General features: G+C 44.8%; 1 protein-coding gene and 3 pseudogenes across 15 annotated transcripts, besides 1 other annotated feature; all 4 read left to right on the top strand.

Moving 5' to 3' along the window:
• The first annotated feature begins 3,744 nt into the window (after nucleotides 1-3,744).
• RDM1 (RAD52 motif containing 1) lies at nucleotides 3,745-16,438 on the top strand. Of its 15 annotated transcripts, NM_145654.4 has the most exons (7): nucleotides 3,745-3,886; nucleotides 4,263-4,442; nucleotides 8,881-9,003; nucleotides 9,746-9,914; nucleotides 11,843-11,941; nucleotides 14,246-14,331; nucleotides 16,075-16,438. In NM_145654.4, exons 1-7 carry the CDS (start codon nucleotides 3,791-3,793, stop codon nucleotides 16,174-16,176), a joined length of 855 nt encoding a protein of 284 aa, NP_663629.1. In that variant the 5' UTR covers nucleotides 3,745-3,790; the 3' UTR covers nucleotides 16,177-16,438. The 15 variants fall into 15 exon arrangements, 10 of the variants coding, with proteins under 10 accessions (NP_663629.1, NP_001156593.1, XP_011522811.1 ...); NR_027997.2 differs by lacking the exon at nucleotides 9,746-9,914; NM_001163121.2 differs by lacking the exon at nucleotides 11,843-11,941.
• Nucleotides 16,439-16,506: 68 nt separating this feature from the next.
• On the top strand, nucleotides 16,507-17,694 carry LOC124903988 (leucine-rich repeat-containing protein 37B-like; annotated as a pseudogene).
• On the top strand, nucleotides 18,194-19,205 carry LOC100133244 (leucine rich repeat containing 37, member A3 pseudogene; annotated as a pseudogene).
• Nucleotides 20,585-21,885, top strand: LRRC37A9P (leucine rich repeat containing 37 member A9, pseudogene; annotated as a pseudogene).
• Nucleotides 21,498-21,693: a silencer, noted in NCBI's record as "fragment chr17:34239829-34240024 (GRCh37/hg19 assembly coordinates)". NCBI's record gives its function as "represses an EF-1alpha promoter that drives an FKBP-Casp9 reporter gene in an ReSE screen in HepG2 liver carcinoma cells {active_cell/tissue: HepG2}" and the evidence as "EXISTENCE:reporter gene assay evidence [ECO:0000049][PMID:32094911]".

The raw sequence follows: 22,505 nt of genomic DNA, 5'->3' as shown, positions 1-22,505 counted from the left end.
GACTGTGTCCATTTATTCATTAGTCTACATATATTTGAGTACCTAAGACAGTGGGAGTGTACTAGGTAGTAGAAGGAAGACAAAACACAGCTATTGTTGTTTAGGTGTTCATAATCTAGGTGGAGAAGCAGAGACATCCACAAACATTACAATAGGTAATTAAATGTATAGTAAAATCCATAATTATTGCTTTGAAACAGTATCAGCATCCAAGTAATTCCTCCAAAGAACAATTTTTGAAGTAAAAGAGAAAACTCAGAAGTAGGCAATGGGTGGGGTCTGGTATTGATGTGGAGAAAGTAGTGATGGGATGGAGAAATAGTGGCAGATACCAATAATTTGGGGGTGCTTTGGGAGAATAAGCTAGGATCTAGATGATTAAAAAAAGGTGCTCTGGACAGGATCTGGTTTGCCTGGAGGGTGCTGAGGTGGAGTAGAACATGCTTAAAGAAAAGGCAAAATCAGAAAAGTGACAGTTGAAGGAATGTCCTACACATAGCCACCGTCAGTAGTGTCTGACCAATCTGGGGTTTTATCTTGGACCACTTATTTCTCTACCACTGAGCCTTAGCTGTTTCTACTATAGAAGGAGGGATTTGACTATTCAGTAGTTGCCAGACTTTTGTATTTCACAGGTGATAAAATGTAAAAAATAATTAAACCTGAGATTTCTTTCTTTTTTTTTTTTTTTTGAGACAGAGTCTCACTGCGTAGCCCAGGCTGGAATGCAATGGCAGGATCTTGGCTCACTGCAACCTCCAACTCCCAAGCTCAAGCAATTCTCCTACCTCAGCTTCTCAAGTAGGTGGGACTACAAGTGTGTGCTACTACACCCAGCTAATCTTTTTTTTTTTTTTTTTTGAAATGGAGTCTCACTCTGTCACCCAGGCTGGAGTGCAGTGGCATGATCTCCACTCACTGCAACCTCCGCCTCCTGGGTTCAAGCAATTATCCTGCCTCAGCCTCCCCAGTAGCTGGGATTACAGGCGCCCCCCGACCACACCCGGCTAATTTTTGTATTTTTAGTAGAGACGGGGTTTCACGGTGTTGGCTAGGCTGGTCTCGAACTCTTGACCTCAGGTGATCCACCCACCTCAGCCTCCCAAAGTGCTGGAATTACAGGCATGAGCCACCGTGCCCAGCTATTTTGTATTTTTAGTAGAGACAGGGTTTTACCACGTTGGCCAGCCTGGTCTCAAACTCCTGACCTCAAGTAATCCATCTGCCTCGGCCTCCCAAGTGCTGGGATTATGGATGTCAGGCACCAGGCCCGGCCGAGGTTTCTAATTTTTAATTTTAATGTCCAAGTAAGAGCATTAAAGCAACTATCCTCTATTAGCATCTTTTCATAGAAAAATTTTTAGTATCAACATTATAGGGAGGTCATACTTGTAGAAGAATGGAGTGGAATCTACTTTATTTTATGAAATTATAAAAAACCTGATTATATTTTCCATATGGTCCTCATTTTGTAGAGTAGGGGTGAAAACTTTATCACAGCATGAGTCTGAGGATCATTATTCAGAAATCACAAGAGACTTGTCCTGTAGGGTCTCTTCTGGCTCTGACATTCTAGGATTAAAATAAACAGTAGTAGGACTCACTTTACTTCTTGTGTTACTGAAACTGCCTTTATAAAAATTATGACAAATCTGACCTAACTGATTCCATTTTGCTTCTAACCTCCAAGCTGCCCTTGCTCATTCCTGGGCACAGGCCAAGCTAACTATGAGAGGAATTTTTGCTGCTTAACTTTGAAACAAAGATAATAGTCCCTTCCTGAAACAAACCACCTCCCTGCTTGGGAATCAGATCTCCTCTGTAAAACTAACAAATTAGCCACAAGATTAGAAATTATGGCTCAGAAATTATGTAGACAGAGGCCACAAGATTCCTAACCTCTCCAGTTGCTCCTATACAAAACACTGTTGTAGTCTCAGCAATGCACCAAGATATAACACTCTGTAGTTGTCTGATATAACCCCCGGAGTTCTTTGTCCTACCTCCAAGATGATTAAGGAGCGTGGACACAAAGGTGGGGTTACAGCAAAAGTTTAATAAGCGAAAGAAGAAAGCTCTCTGCCAGCAGAGCGTGGGGGCCAGAACGGGTGTCCCCTGTGAGGCTGGGGTCTTTATGGACTGGGAAGGGGAAGCAATGTGCTTAGTCCGACAGCTGTCTTGGAGAACTCAGCTTGGCAAGGAGCCTTGGCCCAGGACCAATCAGGAGCTGAAATGATTCTTAGATGCTGCTTAGCTTGGCCCAAGACCTATCAGGGGCTGAAGTGATGATTCATAGAGGCTGGACTTACAGGTCCAAAAAGGAAAGTAGAGTGCCCACTGGAACTCACCGGAGCCCACTATGCCCATGCCCACAAAAGTAGAAGCAACTTCATCCTGGGAGCCCACTGACTATACAAAGGACAAAGGCATTTCTATGCCAGGCCTTGTTCTTTTGTCTGAGTGAGCTGAAGTTTTGTGCAAGCTTTTATCCAAATGGGCCAGAGGTTTTTCCATCTGTGCAGCCGTGGGCATGTCTCCAGGCACAACACCCTATGCTAGTTCTCTTATGGGTGCTGGTAGCTTGAATTTTTTCCCAGGCTGCTTTTTATGTTATGTGGGGGTAAGGCACTGACCCTGTGAGCCGGGATCTCTCCGGGGACCCTTCCCTTGCTTTGTGTCCAAGCTAACTAACTGCTTTCAACATTACTATTGTAAAACCTAATATTGGGGTTCTAGGTATTTTTCAGACCCTTCATTCTGATGGACCAGCTGGCACCACTCACATGGGCAAACTGGCTCATCTGGTCTTGCGGCCCCCAACCAGGAATTCACTCAGCACAAGAACACAAGCTCTGACTCTCTATGATTTCATCCTTGACCCAACCAGTCAGCATTTCCTATTCCCTGGCCCCCTGACTGCCAAATTACCCTTTAAAAAACACCAGCTTCCAAATTTTCAGGGAGGCTAAGTTGAGTAATAGTAAAACTCCAGTCTTCTATTTAGCTGGTTCTGTGCTTATGAAACTCTTTGCCTATTTCAATAACACTGTCTCAGTAAATCAGCTTTTCTGGGCAGTGGGTATGATGAACCCACCAGTTGATTACACTCCTCCACCACGTAGCTGATTATGACACCTACCCTTCTCAGACACCATCAGCTCCAATGTTGGTGCCTTATTTGGACTTATTCTTTGTGGGTTTGTTTGTTTGTTTGTTTGTTTTTCTTTTTTCAAAATTAATCTCTCCTTCTCACTCGTACCTCCAACCTCTCACATCATCTGACCCCCACAAGTACACATACACGATTCACCAGAATGACGTAGGACAATCAGGGAATTCTTTTTAAGGATTTCATGCGAGACTGTTAATGGTTTAGTGAGTTATACTTTTATTTGCAATTTTAAACTCTTAAAAAAACCTCTTAAGTCAAAAGATTGCATCTTTCGTGGTTATTTCCCACAAGTGCTAATACTTAGTACCCTAATCTCCTTCAGGAGTGAAGATGAAGCTGGCTTCTATAAACACGTCCCTACCCTTCCATCCTGTCAGCCTATTTTGGGACTTTACCCTAAACATGCATTGAACGGAAGCTCTAAACTCAGGGATCTTGTGGCTGTGACTGGAGGAGGGGAACAGACTCAGAGGCTGGCCCTAGGTAGGAGGGGCAAGGGAGCGATCCGAGCCCCGTCCCCGCCCCTCGCATGCGCCTCTTTTTAAAAAAGCGCGGGCGTGCCTTGCGCAGGCGCAATGCTGGGGCGAGGGTTAGCCGCGCAGGTGCGGTGAAGGGAGGATGGCGGAGTTGGTACCTTTTGCGGTTCCCATCGAGAGTGACAAAACCTTGCTAGTGTGGGAGCTGAGCTCCGGACCCACGGCCGAGGCTTTGCATGTGAGCCGGGGCCAGGATGGAGGGAGGGATGGAGAAAGCTGCCCACCCGCTGACTGGGAGTTCCGGAGTCCTGCCTCAGACCCTCACCTGCCTGAGCCTCCGCTGAAGGACTCTTAATTATAAAGGGGATCCCAACTGACAACTGACGACCCCCAACAGATTTTTAGAGTCCCGGAGAGGTATCTCTCCACCTTCAGAACGTTTTACCTTCCAGTGCTTCTTAAAGTTTAGGATTTTAAGAGGAAAACCTGTTGATTAAGTGGGAAGTGTTTTGAATCGCATCCTTCGCGAAGAGAGGTTTGGGGAATATGAGGGCATGTGCGGTTTTGTTTTCTGGGCGTGAGATTTCATGCATTTACTTGTCCCACCCCCACAGCATTCTCTGTTCACAGCATTTTCTCAGTTTGGCCTTCTGTATTCAGTCCGGGTCTTCCCAAATGCTGCAGTGGCCCATCCTGGTTTCTATGCCGTCATTAAGTTTTATTCTGCAAGGGCTGCCCACAGAGCCCAAAAGGCATGCGACCGGAAGCAGCTTTTTCAGAAATCTCCAGTCAAGGTGGGTCCAAATATGGAATTCCTAGCTCCGCTGAAATGAAGTGCTGAATTCAATAATAGGTTAGCATTTGTCCAGCACGCTGGTTTACAGAATATTTTCAGATGCATTGCCACACTAATCTTCCAGTTCTCTGGGTTTTTTACATGAAGAAACTCAAACTCAAGGTGGTTGAGCGACTTGTTTAAGGTTCCTGACAAGAATTATGGAAACTCGAGATTGAACTAAAACCTACTGATGCTAAACCTCATGTCATTTTATGCTGTCCCTTTTTAAGAAATCTCAGCTTGGGCAACAAAATGAGACCCCATCTCTATAAAAAAAATTGTAAAGATAAGGCTGGGCACCGTGGCTCATGCCTGTAATCCCAGCACTTTGGGAGATCGAGGCGGGCTGATCACTTGAGGCCAGCAGTTTGAGACCAGCCTGGGCAACATAGCAAAACTCCATCTGTACTATAAATACAAAAACTAGCCGGGCATGGTGGCATGCGCCTGTAGTCCCAGCTACTCGGGAGGCTGAAGCATGGGAATTACTTGAACCCAGGAGGTGGAGGCTGCAGTGACCCGAGATTGTGCCACTGCACTCTAGCCTGGGTGACAGAGTGAGACTCCATCTCAAAAAAAGAAAGAAAGAAAAATAAAAAATTAAATATCAGCCAGATGTGGCATGCACCTGTAGTCCCAGCTACTTGGGAGACTGAGGTGGGAGGATCGCTTGAGCCCAGGAGTTTGAGGATGCAGTGAGCAATAATTGCATCACTGCACTCCTGCCTGGGCCACAGAGTGAAACCCTATCTCTAAAAAATGACTGAATGAATGAAATCTTTGCCAGAAGACTTCTGCTTATATTTACTTTTTAATTTTTTTAGAGACAGAGTATCCCTGTGTTGCCCAGGCTGGTCTCTAAATCCTGGCCTCAAGCAGTCCTCCTGCCTCAGCCTCTTAAGTAGCTAGGTACAGGCCACCATGCCCAGCTATATTTACTTTTTATTTTTATTTTTTGAGATGGAGTCTCATTTTGTCACCCAGGCTGGAGAGCAGTGGCATGATCTTGGCTCACTGCAACCTCTGCCTTCCGGGTTCAAGTGATTCTCCTGCCTCAACCTCCTGAGTAGCTGGGACTACAGGCGCCTGCCACCACACCTGGCTAATTTTTGTATTTTAGTAGAGATGGGGTTTCACCATGTTGGCCAGTCTGGTCTCGAATTCCTGACCTCAAGTGATCCACCCACCTCAGCCTCCCAAAGTGCTGGGACTACAGGTGTGAGCCACTGTGCCCAGCCATATATTATATATTTACTTTTTTTTTTTTTAAAGACAGAGTTTCGCTCTTGTTGCCCAGGCTGGAGTGCAATGGTGTGATCTCAGCTCACCACAACCTCCGCCTCCCGGGTTCAAGCGATTCCCCTGCCTCAGCCTCCCAAGTAGCAGGGATTACAGGCATGCACCACCACGCCTGGCTGATTTTGTATTTTTGGTAGAGATGGTGTTTCTCCATGTTGGTCAGGCTGGTCTCGAACTCCTGAACTCAGGTGATCTACCCGCCTCAGCCTCCCAAAGTGCTGGGATTACAAGCGTGAGCCACCGCGCCCAGCCTATATATTTAGTTTTATGTGAATTTAAAATGTGTGGGTGTGACCAGGTCTTCTGCCAGCTGTTACATAAAGGAGACTGTATCATCATCATCACATCATCATCATCATACTCACCATGGCTCACAAACTGCCTGTTTGAAACTCCCTTCAGTTCTGAGAGGATGGGAACATTCTTTAAGCGGTATTGTAGAAACCCTATTCCATATTAACATGCCAACCAATTTTACTTTCCCAGAGCCACAGAATGATATCTCATTGTATGCCTCAATTCAGTCATCTTTCCCTTTTCAAGGACCATTTCAATTCCTGATTGGCTACTTGATCTGACTGCTTCCTACTAATCTTGCTGCCTATTCTTCTCTATATTCCATTCCTCATTGAATTAACCTTGATCAAATCTGAGAACTCTGCTTAGTAATGACTCCAGGTATACTACTCCCACTTCAGTAGCCTGTTCAATGCCCTCTTAGCCTGTTCAACACCCTCTTCAATCCTGGTTCCACTTTCTGTGACTGAAATGATTACCTGTGAGATATTATTTAACTTTTGAACTATGGTCTGTTTCTAACCTGTGACCATTTCACATAGCCACTCAAATATTATAAAGGTACAACTAAGATTATGAAACATTTACTTGGTATCATTTTGCAAATAATGAGTTTTTAGTGCTCTTTGGACATTGAGACCATTTCATAAGCTTTAGGTTTTGAGAATTTCACAGCATAAAGCCTATCACTGAGACAGTAATGAAGGAAATGTTCTACAACTCAATAGATAGGTGAGATGAGAGGGCATTCATACTAGATTTATTACTAAACTCAAAGCTTTCAGTTACTACTCACCCCCCACTGTAATCTAGTTTAAGTGTTCTTTTCTACTTTAGCACGTACACTTAGTTCCTGTCTTTTTTGCCTTTCTAAATACAGAAAAGAGAATAATGTTTTAAAATAAAATCAAGGAAAGGCCTAAGGCACCTGAGAGGGTTTTGTTTTTGCTTTTTGGGTTTTTGTTTTTTTGTTTGGTTTTTTCGTTTTGTTTTTTTGAGATGGAGTCTTGCTCTGTCACCCAGGCTGGAGTGCAATGGCATGATCTCAGCTCACTGCAGCCTCTGCCTCCCGGGTTTAATTGATTCTCCTGCCTCAGCCTCCAGAGCAGCTGGGATTACAGGCGTGCACCACCACGCCCAGCTAATTTTTGTATTTTTGGTAGAAACAAGATTTCTCCATGTTGGCCAGGCTGGTCTTGAACTCCTGACCTCAAGTGATCTGCCGCCTCGGCCTCCCAAAGTGCCGGGATTACAGGTGTGAGCCACCGTGCCCGGCCAAGAGGGTTTTTTGGTTCTTTTTTTTTTTTTTTTTTTTTTTTTGGTGAAATGAAGGAAAATGGTTGCTGCAAAGTTATCCAAGCTGACAGCTGTCTGTGCCACCCAGAGGCTCAGAGTTTTTCTGAAGCTTCCTGGTTGTCTGGAAAGGCTCCACTGTGACTCACGATACAGGCCGGTCTCGCCAGTGGCACTCAACGTTTAAAAACTGGTCTTTATTTCTTTCCCAACAGGCATTTCTCCTTCTTTTCAGTTGGAGAAAGTAATTTCATTTTTTACTTGCTCATTGTTTTATTCATTCAATCGATAGATCATCTGTGCTCTATTATATGCCAAGAACTATGCTTAGTTCTGGAAATGAAAAAAGAATAAGCTATGGTTTCATCTGGGACTTAAGGAGCTTATAAACCAGTGATAGAGGAAGGTGCATAAACAAATCAATAAAGAATTAACTTTACGGCCAGGCGCAGTGGCTCACACCTGTATCCCAGCACTTTGGGAGGCCGAGGCGGGCAGATCACAAGGTCAGGAGATCGAGACCATCCTGGCTAACACGGTGAAACCCCATCTCTACTAAAAAATACAAAAAATTAGCCGGGCGTGGTGGCAGGTGCCTGTAGTCCCAACTACTCGGGAGGCTGAGGCAGGAGAATGGCGTGAACCTGGCAGGCGGAGCTTGCAGTGAGCCAAGATCGCGCCACTGCACTCCAGCCTGGGTGACAGAGCGAGACTCCGTCTCAGAAAAAAAAAAAGAACTTTACTGTTAATTCTTATTAATTTCTAATACAAATAAATTTGACTTTATTTGTATCATTTGAATTTCATGAATATAATATACTACATTTAAAAAATGAAATATATAGGAAAACTTGTGATGTAAGAAATCCACAAAAATGGATAAAATGTTTTAAGAATTAACACTCAGTAGATATTTGCGTTCTCAAAGAAGCACGTAAATGCAGATATACCTCTCCTTTCAGTTGCATGTAAAATTTATAGAAGTATTTGTATTTCCTTTTTTTTTTTTTTTGAGACAGTCTCACTCTGTCACCTAGGGTGGAGTGCATGGCACCATCTCGGCTCACTGCAACCTCTGCCTCCCAGGTTCAAGCGATTCCCCTGCCTCAGCCTCCCGAGTAGCTGGGACTGCAGGCACGTGCCACCATGCCTGGCTAATTTTTAGTATTTTTCGTAGAGACGGGGTTTCACTATGTTAGCCAGGATGGTCTCGATATCCTGACTTTGTGATCCACCTGCCTCAGCCTCCCAAAGTGCTGGGATTACAAGGGTGAGCCACTGCACCTGGTGTTATTTCATCTTTTAACGGGTTAGTAACTTGGGGAGGGGGATGGGTGGTGGGTTCATCTTATCTATATTCAGGTCATATTCTCAAGCAGGAACTACTGAATGGGAAGACAGTAACAATTTTTCATTGCACACTTGGTATTGACAAATCTCAGATCTATCCAAAATAAAATCTCTAGCGGTTGTGATATTTATGGGTCTATCTCCTATGATTTTAGGTTCGTCTTGGCACCAGACATAAGGCAGTTCAACATCAAGCCCTTGCCCTGAACAGTTCCAAATGCCAAGAACTGGCGAATTACTACTTTGGTTTCAATGGGTGTTCCAAAAGGATCATCAAGGTAAACCTTGTAGATTTTTTTTCACTTACCACACTCTCCTTTCAACATTGAAATCCTAGATTTTAGACAGAAGTATTGAACTGGATTGTAGGGAGGAGATGTGAGAGGCCTCTACCATTGAGGATAAATTGACATGTCTGAATTGGCCTGCTACCTAGAATTAATAATCTCAGTCAATTGGATGGTGGTATCCGTAATTTTCTCCACTGTTTTTGTGGCATATAATAAAAAATGGTTGTCTCTATCTAGCAATTCATTTGCAAATCTAACTTGATTTTGAAGCCATAGGACACCTCAACTGTTAGCTTGAATGACTGGAGTGTAGTTGTTTTTTGGGTTTTCTTTTTTTTATTGGGTTTTTGTTTTGTTTTGTTTTGTTTTTGAGACAGAGGCTCGCTGTGTCATCAGGCTGGAGTGCAGTGGCGCTATCTCAGCTCACTGCAAAATCTGCCTCCTGGGTACAAGCAATTCTCCTGCCTCAGCCTCCCAAGTAGCTGGGACTACAGGCGCCCACCACCACGCCCAGCTAATTTTTGTATTTTTAGTAGAGACGGAGTTTCACCATGTTGGCCAGGATGGTCTCAATCTCTTGACCTCGTGATCCGCCCACCTCGGCCTCCCAAAGTACTGGGATTACAGGCGTGAACCACCACGCCCAGCCAAGTTTTTACTTTTAATAACAAAACATTTTGAAGCCTACATTAAGACCCCAGGAAGGACCTTACATTAAATATCCTTACAGCTTCAGGAGCTTTCTGACCTTGAAGAAAGGGAAAATGAAGATAGCATGGTGCCACTTCCGAAGCAAAGCCTGAAGTTCTTCTGTGCTTTAGAAGTGGTGTTGCCATCCTGTGATTGCAGGAGTCCTGGCATTGGCTTGGTGGAGGAGCCTATGGATAAGGTGGAGGAAGGTCTGTTTTCACTGGGAGTGGAGGAGGGTAGGGATTTGGAGTGGAAAGGATCTTTCTTTTTTTCTTACTTTCCAAAACTCATCTTTTCAGATACATATCAAGCCCCTCCCTCTCTGAGCTACTGAAGTCCTGGGCAGAGTTTTTCTGTCTTACAACATAGGGTTTTACTGTAGGCAATACCTGATTGAACCTTTAAATTTAAAATCGTACAGCTGACTTCCTGCCGAGAAGCTTAGGAGGAAGAAGGAAGTAATGTTTTTACAGTTTTTGGTTAAGAACTTGCTTCGAACTAAAATAGTCCTTCAAATATGTGTCTCTTGTAGCTCTCGGTTATCCCAGCAAAACCATCTAAAGATTTTTTTTTATCTATTTATTATTTTTTAGAGATAGGATCTTGCTCTGTTGCCCAGGCTAGAATGCAGTAGCATGATCATAGCTCACTGTAACCTCCAACTTCTGGGCTCAAGGGATCCTCCTGCCTCAGCCTCTTGAGTAGCGAGGACTACAGGCGTGCACCACCACACCTGCCTAATTATTATTATTATTATTATTTTTAGAGATGGGGTCTTTCTGTGTTGTCCCACCTGGTCTCCAACTCCTGGCCTCAAGTGATCCTCTTGCCTCAGGATCCCAAGTTGCTGGGGTTATAGGCATGAGCCACCATGCCAGGTCATCATCTAAAGATTTACATAAACTTTTGTATAAACATTCAGTTCCTTTTTTTACTCATAAAAGGGTTTCAGCAGAAAAAGTGTCTAATATAGATACCTAGAAAGGGTACTCAGTTGATACTGATGTTGAGTATTTTTTTAGTATTCATGGCCATCATGCTTAGGGTTTGAAGTCAGAGGCAGGGCTGTAGGCTAATGGAGTGGAGTAGGCTCCCGGGGGTGATGCCCAGGGAGGAGCCAGATTATCTGTACCAAAGTTTTTTCTTTTTTGAGATGGAGCCTCACTCAGTCGCCCAGGCTGAAGTGCACTGGCGTGATCTCGGCTCACAGCAACCTCCATCTCCCAGGTTCAAGTGATTCTCCTGCCTCAGCCTCCCAAGTAGCTGGGGTTACAGGTGCCTACCACCACACCTGGCTATTTTCTTGTGGTTGTATTTTTATTAGAGACAGGGTTTCACCATGTTGCCCAGGCTACTCTCAAACTCCTGACCTCAAGTGATCTGCCCACCTTGGCCTCCCAAAGTGCTGGGATTACAGGCATGAGCCACTGTGCCTAGCCTCTTTTTTTTTTTTTTTTTTTTTTGAGACAGAATCTCACTCTGTCGCCCAGGCTGGAGTGCAGTGGCATGATCTCGGCTCACTGCAACCTCCGCCTCCCAGTTCAAGCTATTCTTGTGCCTCAGACTCCCAGGTAGCTGGGATTACACATGTGTGCCACCACACCCGGCTAATTTTTGCACTTTTAGTAGAGACAGGGTTTCACCATGTCCGCCAGGCTGTTTTTGAACTCCTGGCCTCAAGTTTCACCACATTGACCAGGCTGTTCTTGAGCCCCTGGCCTCCACCTGCCTCAGCCTCCCCAGGTGCTGGGATTACAGGCATGGGCCACCAGGTCCAGCCAACCAAACCTTTTTCGATGAGTGATTCCAGCCCTTGATGCATAGGAGGGTAGGGTCTGTAGGAGTGTAGCCTTAACTGATCAATTTGAAATCTCTGGGTGATGTGAGACATGTGCCAGGTTCTTGGCTCTTATCTCCCTTCTAGTACCTCAGGAACTTCCCTACTAGATGGAGGTAGTAAAAATGGGCCCTGCCAGGATGTACCTATAACAGAGCCATTCAACCATACGCTTGTGCCATCTGCCCTTAGTCATGAAGGTTTTGAGCTAAGAATCGTGGATGCTTTTTTATTTTTTAAACATATAGCAATTATCATTCAAATAGGCACCTTAAATCCATTTGTTTTGGTTGGATTTAGGACCATTATCATTCCTTATGAAAAGGAAGACAGCCCAGAAGCTTGCTATTCAGAAGGCTTTGTCAGATGCATTCCAGAAACTGTTGATTGTTGTTCTAGGTAAGACTGTCTTGATCATCCTTGAAGTACTTCAGTTTCAGTAAGCAAATAAACTCATTTTGAAAAGTTAATTGAATAAAAATATTGATATCTAAAGCACTCTATAGTATGCTTTCATTTGCTAAATTATTTCACACCAACAGGCTCAAATTTGTTCTGTGTGACATTTGTGAAAAAAAATGACAGCAAATATTGTCCCCAGTTTACAGATGTGAAAAGACTTGCCTCAGTTCCCACAGAAAATGTTTAAGCCAGGTCTTCTTTAATTGCTTACCTATCATACAGAATAGTGATTATAAGTTTTGGACGCATGGATTTGAGTCCTAACTCTGTCTCTTAGATTTTTAATGCAATTAGGCCGGGCGCGGTGGCTCACGCCTGTAATCCCAGCACTTTGGGAGGCCGAGATGGGCGGATCACGAGGTCAGGAGATGGAGACCATCCTGGCTAACACGATGAAACCCCGTCTCTACTAAAAATACAAAAAAATTAGCTGGGCGTAGTGGCGGGCTCCTGTAGTCCCAGCTACTTGGGAGGCTGAGGCAGGAGAATGGCGTGAACCTGGGAGGTGGAGCTTACAGTGAGCCAAGATCGTGCCACTGCTCTCCAGCCTGGGTGACAGAGTGAGACTCCATCTCAAAAAAAAAAAAAAAAAAAAGATTTTTTAATGCAATTTTAGGTCTTATAGCCAGAGAGATTTGAAAATACTTAATATCTCTAAGCTGCAGTCTCTTCATCTATAAACTGGGGTTAGTAATTCAGTCAGCCTTATGGAGGACATTGTAAGAGTAAATGAGATGACAAATGTAAAAACTCGGAGCTACACTTACAAGATAAGCAGACATATTAACTATTATTGTCATTGTTGATTTATCTCTGAATAAATAAGCTCTCTGCTGAAGAGTTTATTAGATTATGTTTCCTGAATCAAGAATTCAGTTTCAGCTTTCATTTCTGGCACTGACACATTGGGCAAGTATGATTCTTATACAAAAATCAGCTGCTTTGCCGTGAGCCTTGGAATTGGTCATGCTATTGAATATATTCCCTATTGCTTGTATTCCCTATTGAGTTCTACAGTGGCACGAATCTTATAGGCTGTGCCCAAAGGAAGCCTAATGATTAGCAAAGAGTCCCTGAACAGAGTTGCTCTTCTGCTTCACAGCCCTAAAGGCTTAGAGACTGAGAGATCCTAATTAAGTTACCACAGACCTTTATTTGCTTGTAGGAGGTGGCCCTGACTGCTCTCAGCTTTCCAACCTGGGCAACAGCCCTTCTAGTGAAAGTCTTACTTCCTTGGTCATCAACTGTCAAGTCTGAGTAACAACATTTAAGAACCAAACGAAGTGTGTGTGTTGTTTACCTCTCCCTAATATACAAAGGTATCTTGCACACACTGAAAACTTCTTAGACCAAAAGCCTGATGGCTCTAGTTTGCCTTGAAGGTAGTTCTATTGTCTATAAGGGTATGTGAGCCTGTGTCTGCCAATAAAATGTTCAAATGTTCTCTCTCTCAGAAGCTTTGTTCATTGTATCTGGTGGAATGAATTTTGGTTCAAAAGGAGTAGACACCTGAGTAGACAAAAGAAGGCCCTTGCTTCTAATGTGAAGTGTCTACTAGCCCAGTGGTCTCTATTCCAAATTTGAACTTGCTTTGACCCCCATCTGATGCCTTACCATTTAGTCATATTATGATTGAGCATTTTGGTTTCCACATTTTTTATTTCTTATGTTATTCCTTAGTTCCTATCTGTAAGATCATAAAGTCCTTTGTACCGAATATGGTTGATATTTCATACATATGTTAAAAACTGAGGTGTGAGGCCAGACATGGTGACTCACACCTGTAATCTCAGCATTTTGGGAGGCCAAGGCAGGAAGACCACTTAAAGCCAGGGGTTCAAGACCAGCCTGGGCAACAAAGCAAGACCACGTCTCTAAAAAAAAAAATTAGGCAGGCACAGTGGTGTGTACCTGTAGTCCTTGCTACTCTGGAGGGTGAGCCAGGGGGATCACTTGATCCCAGGAATTCCAGGCTGCAGTGAGCTGTGACAGTGCCATTGTACTCCAGTCTGGGTGACAGAGTGAGAGACCCTGTCTTCTAAAAAAAAAAAAAAAAAGAAAGAAAGAAAGAAAGAAAAAACTGAAGTGTGAGATGAGGAGATAAGGAAACTTCCAGGAAAATGCTCTTATTTTCTGCTTTTAGAAACCAAAACAATGTTTCATCATGGGGTGCTACCATTATATGCAGGAAGTTTTAGAATGAAAAAGATTCTGAATTGATCCTCGCTAACTTTATTTCAGAAAGTGGTAAAATAGCTGTGGAGTACAGACCCAGTGAAGACATCGTAGGTGTCAGATGCGAAGAAGAACTACACGGTTTAATTCAAGTATGTGAAGATAAAAACTCAGGGGTAACATAGCCAGTGTAACCATAATTCAAAAAAAAGCAGCATAATTTGGAGGATAATTTGTTTCATTCTTAGGAAAATGTGAAACTGATACTACTTTTGAGTGCAGAGTATTTCTGGGGCTTTTCCTGAAGTCTTGACCTTTGGCTCTGACCGCTTATTTGAAGTTTGGAGAGGAGAACTGAGGACTATCAGAGTATTACTACAGTTGTGGACACAGGAGAGGGATTAGTCTTCCCCCAGGAGTTAGGGATTCCAGGCTGCTTGAACACAGGCCTTTTTAGAACTTTCTTCAAACAGAATCCCAGAGATATGGGGAGAAAGTAACTGGCCTTAAGAATGATCGTGCTACAGCTTTCGAAAACTATAATGCCTTTCAAATACAGTTTATTACCTGGATCTCAATATCTCACGTATATCTTGGGTAGAATATTTTGCTGAGATCTTTCTGTAAATCAGTTACAATCATGTGCTACAAAATGATGTTTCGGTCAACAATAGACCACATATATGATGGTGGTTCCATAAGAGTATAATGGAGCTATCCCTATACAGCTATACCATTTTTTATCTTTTAAACAGTATTTTTACTGTACATTTTCCATTTTACATACATAAATACCTTCCGTTATGTTACAATTGCCTTCAGTATTCAGTATAGTAACATACAGTACAGGTTTATAGCTTAGGAGCCATAGGCCATACCATATAGCCTAGGTGTGCTGTAGGCTATACCACCTAGGTTTGTGGAAGTATATGCTATGATGTTAGCACAAGGGTGAAATCACCTAATGACATATTTCTCAAGCTTCTCCTCACATGGCAAGCAACGCATGACTGTATATGAAAGCTCTTAAATAGGGATTAAGTTTCTAAATTAATCTCTGAAAGAAAACAGTCATTATTTACTACATATGGAATTCTTTAAAAAAAGTAGCAAAAGTGTTTTTTTTCAGTAGGAACTTAATTTGGGGCTAGAGTGTTTTATTTAACTTTCACCCCAAAGTTGCAAAGCGTTTTGTTTTGAAGTTTTTCCCTGTAAAATAGTTATTTTAATTCAATTTAAATAAAACCCATCAAGGAAACTTCAAGCTTTAAGAAGTCTAGCTTCCTGTGAAATGTGAGAGAAAGTCAGCACTGATTTCAGAAATCTGATTATAACAATAGATCCATCCCTAAATGAGGCAAGTCTTGGAATCCCTTCCATTGTAAAACCATTAATCTGCACCATATACCTATGCTAGGCACTGGCATAAGATGAAGCACGTTCTTAGAGTTCACATGCTGGTGATTGTGCCAGACAATGAGTAATAAAATAGGTAACAATGGCTGTGGAGGAAGTCAGCTGGGTTCCAGTTATAGTCGCATTTCAGGAAATTATTTAACAGCTGACTTTAACAACCTAAGCCTCTTCTCCATGTGTGCACACAGGGTAGACCTCTGAAGAGTGGCGCTGTAATTTCTAGGGTAATGGCTGTGTTAAGTCAAGGCAGGATGACAGTTCAAACTTCTCTCCCAGACTGAATTGCCCACCTCCCAAAACCCCTCCTACAGAAAATTTGGAGTCTTCACTTATTCCCTGGCAGCCCCTACCTAATAGAGTGGTGAATTATCAAACATGCAACAAAGGATATGGAAAGTTTAGCAAAAACGGCAACATTTTGGAATGAATGACCGTAATGTGCGTTCTGCCTGCCACCCTAACTAGCGCACATTTTGCAGGTCCCTTGCTCTCCCTGGAAGCAGTATGGCCAAGAGGAGGAAGGGTATCTCTCGGATTTCAGCTTGGAGGAGGAAGAGTTCAGGCTGCCAGAACTTGACTAGCATTTCTGAATATCCCAAGGCGAGGTCATGTAACTTCCTTGGGAAGCTCTGTCGTGCCCCTACCCCACGCCGCCCCACCACTATAGGCTGCTGGAGTCCTGGAACCACCTGGGTCGGCCGCCCAAATCTTTCCTGGCGAAGGGGAGGGAAGGGGTGTTCTGGTGGAGTGGGAAGGGAGGCTTGGGTAGGATTGTGGGATAAGATCGCCCTGGTGACGAGGAGCGGATCTCGAACGGAACTTAATAAAGGTTGCCTAGATAAAGATATGGTAAATAACGGACGAGGCGGGGCCGCGGTTGCTAAGGGCGCGGGCATCTGGTGGCTGCCATAATGGCTTCTGCTCAGTGCGGGACGCCAACTTCTGTCATGTACCGGCTGCGTCTCTGGTCCCTATGGCCCCTCCTCACGTGACAACTACTGTGACTACTAGTCCAGGAGGCTCAGCCTCTGGAGTGGGTCCAGGGCCCACTCCAGCTGACCTCCGACCCCCTGAGGCCAACTGAGCCCTGGGCTTGGCGCTCCTCCGATCTCCCCCCGGAACCTCCCTATGCGTTTATCCACCCCCACCCCCATACAGACCCGGGAGCTTTGATAACCTGAGGTCCTCTACTGCCACCCAGATGTCAGCCTCGCCTCAGGAACCGACTGAGACTTTGGTTCCATTTCTGGACACAGATTCAGCTGGAGAGCTGCCCCTGGGGCCAGAGAAGTTCGCTGTTGCACACCAGGATCTGAATGATAAGCTGACTCACAAGAAAGGCTCCCAGAGTTGGTTCCAATGCTAGACTGGGATCAGAACCAGACGGTAGCTCGGCCTCTTTGCCTCAAAAGTAAGGTTCAAACTGTAAGTCTAGATCAGGCTGCAGATCATTAGGCATATGAAATACTTGTTCCACCTCTAGATAGTCAGAATTCAAAAGCAATGAAGATTAGTGTTTCACCCAAAAACCTGAAGAAGAAAGATCTACCTAAGCATCGGAGGCTTGCTAAGGTTGTTGTTGGAACTCCACACCGATTTGTATCAAAACCTCAGTGTCAGAAACAAACTTTACAAGCATTTAGTATTTAGATTCAGGTATGGATATACTGTATCTGGGCAGCCTTCCTCCAGAAGTCCAGGTGAAAGATGAGCCTCCAGGGCCCCATGAGCAAGTTGGACTTTTGCCAATTCTATCTAGAGCCCGAAACTCAAAATCCACAGACCCTCCAAGAGATCCAGTCATCTTCACTCCAGCAAGAAGCCCCAGCACAGCTTCCACAGGTCCCTGAATACGTAGAAACTTCTTCAACCCCGTAGGAGGCCCCAGCTCTTCCTTCTCAGTCCCTTAAGGGGGTCCATTCTTCAACAGAGCAGGAGGCCCCAACACAGCTGCTACCTGCCCTGAAGAGATTGTAGCTCAGTTATGAATACGTTATCAGGTAAATGTTGCATTAAAAAGTTGGAGTGAGGCCAGGTGCAGTGGCTTACACCTGTAGTCCTAGCACTTTGGGAGGCCAAAGAGGGTGGATAACCTGAGATCAGGAGTTCGAGACTATCCTGACCAACATGGTGAAACCCTGTCTCTACTAAAAATACAAAAGTTTGCTGGGTGTAGTGGTGAGCACCTGTAATCCCAGCTACTCAGGAGGCTGAGGAAGGAGAATCGCTTGAACCTGGGAGGTGGAGGTTGCAATGAGCTGAGATTGCACCATTGCACTCCAGCCTGGGCGACAGAGTGAGACTCCATCTCAAACAAACAAAAAAAGTTGGAGTGAAGCTCATCACTCACACTTGCCCAATGTAACAGTCAAACTTGTGGATTTGGAGCTTACAATAAGTCCAAAGCCAGATAAGAAACTTACATCAAGCCGGGAACAGGCCACAACTCAGCCTCCAGAGCACCCTGAGAAGATGGACCCTTCCTCAACCCAATTAGAGGACCCAGCTTAGACACCAGAGTGCCCTGAGGAGATGAAATCTACAACCCAGCACAGGACCCCAGCTGAGCCTCCAGTTCCTCCTATGGAGGCCAGACCTTCTCCAAGTGAGCAGGAACAGCCAGCTCAGCCTTCTGAGTTTCCTGGGGAGGTTGAACCTTCCCAGACCCAGCAGGAGGCCACCGCTCAGCCTCCAAAGTTCTCTATGGAGAGTGCATATCAAACTGCACTGAATTATGAGGTGACAGTTCAAACTCAGGGTGAGGATCAAGCTCATTATACAAATGACAGTTAAACCTGTGGATGTAGAGATTACCATAACTTCAGAGCCTATCAAAGAGACTAAATATTCTGCAGCCCAGCAGGAGGTCCCAACCCAGCCTCCAGAGGGAGTGGAAACTTCTGCAAACCAACAGGATTTAACTGAGGCTCCAAGTCCTGTGGAGGATGAATCTCCCCCGAGTGAGCAAGAACAGACAGCTCAGACTTCTGAGTCTTCAGGGGAGGTTGAATCGTCTCCAGCCCAGCACGAGACCCCAGCTCAGCCTCCAGAACATCATGAAGTAAAAGTTTCACCTCCAGGTCACCATAAAGCTCAGCATTCAGATTTGCCCATTGTCACTGTTAAGCCTCCAGTTATGCAGCTCACCATAGCAACAGAGCCTACTGCAGAGGTGGGAACTTCTCCAATCCACCAGGAGGCTACAGCTTAGCTCTCAGGGGCAGTTAATGATGTGGAACCTTCCATGACCCAGCACGGGGGCCCAACTCTGCCTCCATAGTCATCAGAAGATGACTTTACCAGTTCAACAGGAGACTTCAGTTCAATCTCCAGCTATTAAAGATGAGAACCTCTCTCCAGCCCAGCAGAAGGCTGCTGCTGAGTATCCACAGATGCCTGAGGAGGTTGAGTCTTCTCCAACACAGCAATAGACCCCAGCTCAGCCTTCAGAGATCCCTATTGAAGTTATAGCTAATCTCCAGTGCATCATGAGGTAACAGTTTCTCTAAGTCATGATCAAGTTCAGCCTCCAACATTGCACAATGACACTGTGAAACCTGTGGATCACATGGTAACCATGACTCCAGAGTTCACCTAACAGGTTGAAATTTTAACCAAACACAGGGCCCCAGCTCAGTCCTCAATGTCCCCTTAGCAGTTTCAGCATTTGAAAGACCAGCAAGAAATGATTATTCAGCAGCTAAATACCCCTGAAAATGATGAACTTCCTCCAGTCCCTCAAGAGCCCACAACTCAGTCACCAGCTCAGACTTTGTAAGGTCATTGAATGATGAGATGGTATTTTCACCTCTAGATCTATCTTTAATATTCAGAAATAATTCAACTTTCCCTAATACCACATTTAAAAATATGGATATGGACCTCACCATACCTACAGAAGTCACTATGGAGGTTGAACCTTCCCCAGTCCAGCAGGACAATCCTCCTATTCCCACTGAGTAGGCTGACTTTTCTCCAACCCAGCATGATACCCCTTCCCCACCTCTGGATTCTCCAGAAAAGATTGAATCTCCATCACAGCAAGAGGCCACAGCTCAGACCCCAGATTCCCCTAAAGGGGTGGATTTTCTCCAGTCCAGCAAGAGTCCCCAGCTGAGGCACCAGAGCTCCCTAAGGAGGTTGAACCACTGCAACCCAGCAGGAAGCCTCAGGTCATCCTCCAAAGTCCACTGCAGAGGTCAGTCCACCATAGCTGGAGATACCAGCTCAGCCATCAGCCACCTGAGAAGGTCAAACCATCTTCAGTCCTACAGCAGGCCTCAACTCAGCTTTTAGAGCCACCTGAAGAGGTAGAATGCTCTCCAGTCCAGTAGACAGTGCCTGCTCAGTCTTCAGAGCCCCCTATGGTGGTAGAATCCTCTTCGACAGAGCAGATGGCCCCATCTTTGCCTCCAAATCTCCCTCAGGAGGTGGAACCATCTCTGACTCATCAGGAGGTTCCAACTCAGACTCCAGAGCCCCCTATGGAGACAGAACCTTCTCCAGCTCAGCAGGAGGCCACAGTTCAGGCTCCAGAGCCTCCTAAGGAGGCAGAACCTTCAAGTCAGCAGATGGTCCCAGCTCAGCTTCCAGAGCCCCCTAAGGGGGTTGCAGCTCAACCTCTAATGCATTATGAGATGACAATTGTAACAGCAAGCCAGGACCAAGCTCAGTATCCAGCATTATGAGATGACAATTCCAACAGCAAGCCAAAACCAAGCTCAGTATCCGGTATCACCCAGTGTCACATTTCAACATTTACACCTGGAGCTTACCATAACTCCAGAACCCACTATGGAGGCTGAGCATTCTATAATGCTGAGGATGACTACAGCTCCTCCAAAACACCCTGAGGTGACCCTTCCACCTTCAGACCATGTGCAGGCTCAGCACACAAACCTGAGGCCACAGTGCAACCTTTGGATCTGAAATTTACCACGAATCAACAACCTACTACAGAGAGTATATTTTCTCCAACCATGGAGAATTCAACTCAGCTTCCAGAGCCACCTATGGAGGTTGTAACTCAACCTCCAGCTCATTATGAGGTGACAGTTCCAATACAAGATCAGGATCAAGCTCCGCATTCAATACTGGCCAGTGTCACACTTCAACCTTTGGACCTGGGGCTTACCATCGCTCCAGAATCCACTACAAAGGTTGAACTTTCTCCAGCCATGCAGGAGGCCGCAACTTAGCATCCTCAGGAAGTTACACCTTAACCTCCAGTATTTCAAGAGGTAACAATTTCAACACCAGGTCAGGATCAATCTCAGCATTGAATATCACCCATCATTATAGTTAAACCTCTGGACCTGGGACTTACCATAACTCCAGAACCCACTTCAGAGGTTGAACATTCTACACCCCTGAAGAAGACTATAGTTCCTCCAAAGCACCCTGAGGTGACACTTCCACATCCACACCAGGTTCAGACTTAGCATTCAAACCTGACTCAAGTCACATTTCAGCCTTTGGATCTGAAACTTACCTTAACTCCAGAATCCTCTATGGAGGTTGAGCCTTCTTCAACCATGCATAAGACCCCAACTCAGCCTCCAGAGCTACCTAAGCAGGTTGTAGTTCACCCTCCTGGGTATTATTATGAGATGTCTCTTCCAACAGAAGGCCAGGATCAAGCTAATCATCCAACCTCACCCAGTGTCACAGTTCAACCTTTGGATCTGGGGCTTACCGTTACTCCACAATTCACTACAAAGGTTGAACCTTCTAGAGCCATGATGACTACAGCTCCTCTGCCAAAGCACCCTAAGGTGACACTTCCACCACGAGACAAAGGTCAATGCTCAGTATTCAAACCAGACCCAAGTCACAGTTCAACTTTTGGACTTGGAACTTACCATAAATACAGAACCTACTACAGGGGTGAAACTTTTCCAACCACAGAGGAGACCTCAACTCAGCCTCCAGACCTGGGGCTTGCCATAACTCTAGACCCCATACAGACATTGAACATTCTACAGCCCTGGACAAGACTGCAGCTTCACGTCCAGACCAGGTTCAGACTCAGCTTCAAAACCTGACTGAAGTCAGAGGTCCACCTTTCAACTAGAACCTACTCAGGATTCATTGGTTCAGTCTGAAAGTTACACCCAAAATAAGGCTTTAACTGCACAAGAGGAACAGAAGGCCTCCACAAGCACCAACATATGTGATCTCTGTACCTGCGGAGATGAGACGCTGTCATGTATTGACATCAGCCCAAAGCAGAGGCTCCGCCAAGTGCCTGTGCCAGAGCCTAGCACCTACAATGGCATCTTCACCATCTTGTAAGAATCACCTTTCCTCAATTGTTCTCTGTGTCCTGCCTGATATAGCAGCTTTTTCCTGGAGGCCTTCCTGGGCCTTCTTTATCTCACCAAACCACATGGACAACTGACTTTCTGCTTCTGCCTTTGCCTGTCATTTCTTCCTTCTCCTCATTCTCCTTTACTGTTAGGCCCCTTCCCTGGTCTTTTACTTGTGATTGCTCTTAATCCTTTTCTTATCCATTTTTCTTTAGCCCCATCACATCATTTGCTTCACTGCTGCTGTCCTCCTATTTGCACTTCATCCTCTTTACAGCAGTCTGTCTCTCCATCTCAGTGATAGTGCTCTAGGTGGTTAAGAGTTGATTCTGAAGCCAGGTTACTGGGTTTGAACCCAGGTCTGTCATTTGTTAGCTTGGTTACCCTGAACAAGTTATTTTTCTCTGTGACTCAATTTCCTCATCTTTAAACTGGGGATTATTCTAGTTACCATTTCATAGGATTGTTGTGAAATTTAGGTGAGTGAATACCTGTAATACTTGCATCAGTGCCTAGTATATGTAAGAGTGGTGGCTGTTAACATGATTACTTAGCTCTTTAGTTATGTTCAGAACTCATCTTTGTCCCTGACTTTCTATATG

Source organism: Homo sapiens, chromosome 17, assembly GCF_000001405.40.
Source record: "Homo sapiens chromosome 17, GRCh38.p14 Primary Assembly".
Classification (NCBI taxonomy): domain Eukaryota; kingdom Metazoa; phylum Chordata; class Mammalia; order Primates; family Hominidae; genus Homo; species Homo sapiens.
The sequence above is the reverse complement of the archived record's forward strand: the minus strand, read 5'-3'. Positions and strand labels throughout refer to the sequence as shown.